This window comes from Homo sapiens, chromosome 9 (genome assembly GCF_000001405.40).
Source record: "Homo sapiens chromosome 9, GRCh38.p14 Primary Assembly".
Lineage (NCBI taxonomy): Eukaryota > Metazoa > Chordata > Mammalia > Primates > Hominidae > Homo > Homo sapiens.
Window position 1 is genome coordinate 21,233,181 of NC_000009.12, and position 7,052 is coordinate 21,240,232.

Below are 7,052 nucleotides of genomic sequence, written 5' to 3' on the forward strand. Positions count from 1 at the left end.
TGTGAAGTGACTATGGTCTGGATTGGACCCCCAGCATATTGCAGCAGCCCTATGGAAAAGTGGCCAGATTGTGTGTTATGTCGGTCCGTGATCCCCTCTCTCTTCACTGGGTGGGTCTGCCAGGCTTGGGTCTGCAGCTACCAGTTGGGGCTATTGAGCCAATGACAGCTCTGCATCTCCCTGGAACAGAGCTCCCAGTGAGAAGGGTGGGTTGCCATCTTTGCTTTCTCACAGCTCTTGCCCTTGCTGTCTCCAGGCTCTGGAGAGTCTGTAGGGAACAGTGGCTGGTCCAGATCCCCAAAACAGAGCAACTGCCTCACAGAAGAGTGACCATACTGTTCTCCATACAGTTCCTGGTTGTCACCTCTCCTCTGTGGGCAGATCCACCTGACCAGACTCCAGCACAGGCACCCTTCCCCTGCCTCATCTCCTCAATCAGGCAGTCCAGCATTTCTCAAAGGAAGAAATCCTACAGTCAACCCACAACCCATCCACCACTACTGTTGCAGTGGGACAGCCCCAGCAGCCCTCTGGCTGGGGAAGGAACAAAGGGCCTAGTCACTACACTCTCACCTCCAGCACACCATAGCCACCATACAAAGAGGAGTCCAGCCTTTCTTCCCTGAGAATCTGCATCCCTATTCTTCAGGAGGCAGGGCCCCCAGCCCATGACTGCAAAACAGTCAACCTACCCATAGCTGAGCATATCCACTGGTAGTTGCCTGGAGTTTCCCTGGGGAGAGGCTCCCACAGCCATCCTACCTCTGCCACTGCCACAGCAGCAGTTTTATCCCTGCTGCCTTGGGTCTGGGGAAGAAACAAAGAGTCTGAAGCTCTTTGTTTACGAGCTTGCAGCAAGCCACTGTCACATGAACTTACAGCACACTGCAGTTACCATATGGTGAGAACAGTCTCTCCTCCTGGTAAGATTGCCACCTTCTATTACCCAAAAAGTGAAGCCCCAAGCTTACACCAGCAGTGCAGCCACCCCACTCCTCTGGCTAAACACTGCCATTAACATGGCTTCACATTTCTTGGAGGTGGAGACCCCAGGGGCAACAGAAAGCCTGTCTACCACTGCCTCTGCAGTGGTACTACCCCAGCTACCTTGGAACTGATGAAGGAGCAGAGACCTCAAGTACCTTATCCATACCTCCAACAAGCTGCCGTCAACCCAAGAGAGGAGGCCAGTCTGTCTGCCATTGGTCAATCACCCACCCCTCACATCACCAGGCAGGGAACCCCTGGCTTGGGCCCACAGGACACACTCCCATCCCACGCTGATTGCACTGAGTGACTGCTGACCTGCTTCTCTGTGGTGGAGCCCCCCGGAGACAAGCAAAAGACCCTCAGTTACAACAACTACTAAGGTCCCTTCCTTCGATGGCTCCAAGTTGGGGAGAAAACATTAACCCTGAGATCACCCCAGAGCTGTTGTGGGCAGCCTGGGAGTGCCAAGATACAAGGTACAGTCAGCACTCAAGTGGGAGAGGAGCCCAAACTTTCAAAGCATTGAGATGGAGCACGTGTACAACCGTGAGGAAATGTAGGTGAGCCCCATGACTGAGCAAGAGCCTGACAACTGACCACTGCACCTAAGAGTCACCTACTAGGTCATGCCCAAAGCTTCAACACCAACAAATCTCACTAACACACCCTCATTCAACCAAAGACATGTCAGCTACAAATAAAGACCCTGCACAAAGCTACAGCCCTGTGAACACAGCCAGAAAATAAGTCTCTTTATTGATTGAACTCAAGCTACACTCCCATATGCAGAGATGAGAAAGAACCAATGCAAGAACTACAGTAACTCAAATGGACAGAGCATCTTATGTCCTCCAAATAATCACACTAGTTCTCCAACAAGGGTTCTTAACCAAAATGAGTTAGCTAAAATGACAGAAATATAATTCAGAATAGGGATAGAAAGGAATTCCATTGAGATTCAGGAAAACAGTAAAACCTAAACCAAGGAAACTAAGAATCACAATCAAAAGAGAGAAGAGTTGATAGCCAAATAGCCAGTATGAAAAAGAACCTAACGGACCTAGTAGATGTACACACTACAAGAATTTCACAATGCAATCACAAGTATTAACAGCAGAATAGACCAAGCTGAGGACAGAATCTCAGGACTTGAAGACTGGCTCTCTGAAATAAGACAATCAGACAAAAATAAAGAAAAAAGAATGAAGAGCAATGAACAAAACCTCCAAGAAATAGGGGGTGGTATAAAGAGGCCAAATCTAGGAATCACTTCCATCCTTTAAAGAGACAGGGAGAAAACAAACAACTTGGAAAATGTATTTCAGGATATAGTCTATGAAAGCTTCCACAATCTTGATAGAGAGATCACAAATCAAATTCCCTTGAAGTTCTACACCCAGATTGACCGGCTCTTCTCATTCCTAGTCTAGCACAATCCATAGAGGAAGGGATAAGTTAGGAGGTCCCGGGGAGGCTGGGCAGGCTGGAGGAAAGGGACATATCCAGACCCTTTCTCTTTCCCCATAGCTGTCCATTGCCCCAAGAGGACATGTCATGCCTGAAGCTGGGAGTATTTTCTCTCTCCACGATACAGAAGTTAAGGAAATGGGCTAATTCCAGTACCGTGATAGTTCTTTCTTGGGAAGAGCCTCTTTTTAGCTATGAAGATAAATATCCTGCCAGGAGGCCTACTTCTGCATTCACAGCCTGCTGTCCTCAGACTTGGCTGCTGTGTTGGTGCACTTTGACCAGTTGGTGGCTCTCTTTCCCTGTAAATCTTGTAATAGTCTCAAAGTAGAATGGAACCTGCGTTTTATTTCCTTTTTTGCTAAGCTACTGTTATGTCATTGCAACAGCGACATTCCGTGTTTTACAGAAATATTCATCATAAGAAAGGAAAAAGAGTATTTTATAAAAAGAGCTTCTGAAAAACCTAGAACTTTCACTGACCTTCTGCTTTAATTTGTGATTTTGTGCTCTTAAGGGAAAAGTGATGGGTAAAACCCACAAGAGAACTGAAAACAGCTGTATGAAGAGGCAGTGCAGGCTAATGATGAGTGAAGAAGAGAGCACAGTGCGCATTTCTAGAGGAAGAGGAAGGAAACTAATGTGATATGGGAGTGAAAAAATGGGATACAGAAAAGCATGGAGGAAAGGGAAAAGTGTGTCAGCTCTCAGAACCAGCAAAGATGTATATTTTACTTAAGTTTAGGAGAGTAACTTCATATGGGAGTGTACTCTGGGATTCTGAGAGCCAGGAAACAAATGTTCCAGGTGCCAGAATCAGTTAACCATCAACACGTGTATTCTGCACTTCAATCTAGATGCTGCTCCTCTGTCAGGTATTTATAGAAGCCACCATTTCCTGACTAAGTGTAAGTAGGACTTTGAAATGAGGTGAGACAATTTTTCAGCCTCTTTAGAATTCATGATAGAATTCTGTTTTTTTAGGCTGCCAAAAAAATATATATGCAACCAGAATGGAATTTCAATGTAAAATAAGTTATTGTTATTTATACCTGATGTGTAAATTTTGAATTGGGATTTGCTTAATAATTATTAATCTCGTTTTTTCCTCATTTATACACAACCATCTCCTGCTCTCTGAATTTCCTTGGTTCATGTTGTATTTTCAGCTGATTTTGACCAACTTGCTCTCTCTCTTTCTTTCTTTTTTTTTTTTTTGATTTTGCTTTAAGTTCTGGAATACATGTGCAGAACCTGTAGATTTGTTACATAGGTATACATGTGCCATGGTGGTTTGCTGCACCTATCAACTTGTCATCTAGGTTTTAAGCACAATTTTTAAAAATCCCATCTATCATTGATGGGCATTTGGGTTGGTTTTGTGTCTTTGCTATTGTAAATAGGGCTGCAGTAAACATACACGTGCATGTATTTTCATAATAGAATGACATATATTTCTTTGGGTATTACTCAGGAATGGGATTGCTGGGTCAAATGCTATTTCTGGTTCTAGATCCTTGATGAATTACCACAGTCTTCCACAATGGTTGAAGTAATTTACATTCCCACCAACAGTGTAAAAGCTTTCCTGTTTTTCCACAGCTTCACCAGCATCTGTTGTTTCCTGACTTTTTAATAATCACCATTCTGAGGGGCATGAGATGGTATCTCATTGGTGTTTTGATTTTCCTTTCTCTAATGATCAGTGATGTTGAGCTTTTTTCATCTTTATGGGCCACATAAATGTCTCCTTTTGAGAAATGTCTGTTCATGTTTTGCCACTTTTTGATGTTTTTTTTTCTAAATTTGTTTAAGTTCTTTTTACATTCTGGATATTAGACCTCTGTCAATTGGATAGACTGCAAAAATTTTCTCCCGTTCTGTAGGTTGCCTGTTCGCTGTGATGACTGATAATTTCGTTTGCTGTGCAGAAGCTCTTTAATTAGATGCCATTTGTCAATTTTAGCTTTAGATGCAGTTGCTTTTGGCAATTTCATCATAAAATCTTTGCCCATGCCTATGTCCTGAATGCTATTGCCTATGTTTTATTCTAGGGTTTTTATGGTTTTGGGTTTTACATTTAAGTCTTATATCCATCTTGAGTTAATTTTTGTATAAGATGTAAGGAAGGGTCCAGTTTCAGTTTTCTGCATATGGCTATCCAGTTTTCCCAGCACCATTTATTAAATAGGGAATCCTTTCCCCATTCCTAAAGTATTGAGAAAGAGATTCTCTTTTCCAGTTTCCAATTTTATTTTATGAAAGAAATGTGTCAGTTTTTACTGACATTTAACAGAGTATTAATCAAAATAATGATCAATTACTATTGTAAATAATTTTACATTTTATGCTTTAAATATATAAAATATTAAATGTATTAATATGATTTATCAGTGCATCACATTTATGAAATTTATTCATTGACATGTATTTTCAAAAAGGAAACACTATGCAGATAAAAGATAATCCACATTTTTGGCGGGTCCAACTTATTACTTCCCTCCATTGCAAAGGCAGATCTTTCACAATTTTCTGTATGTGTTATCCTGATTTTTCTTTTCTCATTGATTCTTCTACCTACCCCAGTATGGCTTCTGCTGATTAATTCTATCAATCCAGCTCTCAGTAATCTCTGCATTGCCATCTATTTTCTTCCTGTAGTGCTCAGTTTTAATTCACATTTTCTATAAGTCTATTGATTCTTTTTATAAGCATGTTTGTTTTCTAAATACACTTTTATCATCATTCCCTCTTCTCCTTCTAATATTGAGGTATTCCACCTCTGTTTTCTTTGTGTCTCTTCTGTTCCCACACTTTAATGGTGGAAGGTCCTCAGAATCCAGTTTAAGTCTTTTTTCCCTCTCCACTTCCTCCCCACATGACAGCCTTCATTTTTGGCCTTTCCATTGCCAGTTATGAACTTCCAGATATCGTATTCCTTGGAAACTGCAAACTCATATATCTGACTGGCAATGTACATTTTCAATTACATGTTTGAAAGTCAGTTTATCTCTACTTTTTTTTCCAGACATGTCTCAATCTACCTTGTGCTAAGAAGAATTCATTGCTTTTTTACTTCGTTACCATACAGCAGTTTGTATAACTGATATTAATTCAGCATTATTATTGTTTTTAGATTTATTTCCTGACAAAAATCAAAGATACAAGAGAACAGGAGCTGTATTTTTTATATTCATGTTTACATCCTTAAGGCAACATATAACCTGGTATAGAAAATGTATTTTTCTATAACTTGAATAAAATTATGATAGGTAACTTGATTAAATCATCTATTTTGAAATCAGGTTGTACAGTCAGGCTTGACGTTTTATCTTAAAAAATAACCAAACACAAGAAATTTTGTATAGTAAAAATTTAATGAAAAAGGAAATTAATATATTGGCTAAATATGAAGAACATATTTGTTATATTAACCACAATGTAAAGGTACACATGATATTACATAAAAAATAATTTAAATAATAAAAATAGTTAAATAAATAAATATTTAAATAAATAGATGAAAGGAGACATCAGCATGGTCATCTGTAAAGGACTAGTGCCTGCACAGGTATACATGATGCTTCTTTACACTCCTGAAAACATTTGAAAATTTTGATTCAACTTGTGGTGGTTATAGGAGAAGTGAGTCTTTGAAATGGAAGAACTCATGAAAGTGTGAGATGATGTATTAGTCAATGAGAATCATTTCCATGATGAACCAGTTTTCAATCCTTCCTCCTTAATCTTTTTTGCAAGTTTGTTGAAAAAGAGAGGGATCTCATGATTTCTGCTCTGACAACCTCCCAGGCACAAGGGCTGTATTTCTTCTCCATCAGATAAAGAGTGATTCTTTGGAAGTATTTCTTCACAGCCAGGATGGAGTCCTCATTCATCAGGGGAGTCTCTTCCACCCCAACCTCCTGTATCACACAGGCTTCCAGGTCATTCATTTGCTGGAAAAGTTCAATGTAGAATTTTTCTAGGAGGGTCTCATCCCAAGCAGCAGATGAGTTCTTTGTGCTGAAGAGATTGAAGGTCTGCTGCATCATCTCATGGAGGACAGAGATGGCTTGAGCTTTCTGGAACTGGTTGCCATCAAATTCCTCCTGGGGAAATTCAAAGTCATGTCTGTCCTTCAGGCAGGAGAAAGGAGAGATTCTCCTCATTTGTGCCATGAGCATCAAAGTCCTCCTGTTATTCAGGCTGTGGGTTTGAGACAGATTACAGCCCAGAGAGCAGCTTGACTTGCAGCTGAGCACCACCAGGGCCATCATTAAAGCAAAGGGCAATGCCATTGGGAATCCCGAAGATGCTGCTGGGCTGGTTGATGAGGGGTAACACTGAACCTTGGGTTGTAGGTTTTCTGAAGACCTTGCTCTGTGCATAGGTCTTAAATAAGGAACATACTAGCTTCCATTTTCTGAACGTCTTCATGTTTTTTTCTACTTCTCTTTTGGCTTTCCTTTATGTCCTGTCTACATGGGTGTAGAGCAGTTTCTCAACCACTTTTATTTTCAGTATTACCTCATCTTTCCCTGCCCCATGGGCTTTTTAGAAATTTCTTTCTAATTCAAAGTCCCATTAAATTTTAA

The 7,052-nt window shown here is 40.6% G+C and overlaps 1 protein-coding gene across 1 annotated transcript; it reads right to left on the bottom strand.

The window, feature by feature from the left end:
* Positions 1-5,821: 5,821 nt before the first annotated feature.
* Positions 5,822-6,825, bottom strand: IFNA14 (interferon alpha 14). The gene has a single exon (NM_002172.3). The coding sequence runs from the start codon at positions 6,753-6,755 to the stop codon at positions 6,186-6,188; it is 570 nt and encodes a 189-aa protein (NP_002163.2). The 5' UTR covers positions 6,756-6,825; the 3' UTR covers positions 5,822-6,185.
* Between the last annotated feature and the right edge of the window lie 227 nt (positions 6,826-7,052).

Coding starts and splice junctions, on each gene's coding strand:
- IFNA14 (NM_002172.3), bottom strand. CDS start 6,755: ATGGCATTGCCCTTTGCTTTAATGATGGCCCTGGTGGTGCTCAGCTGC.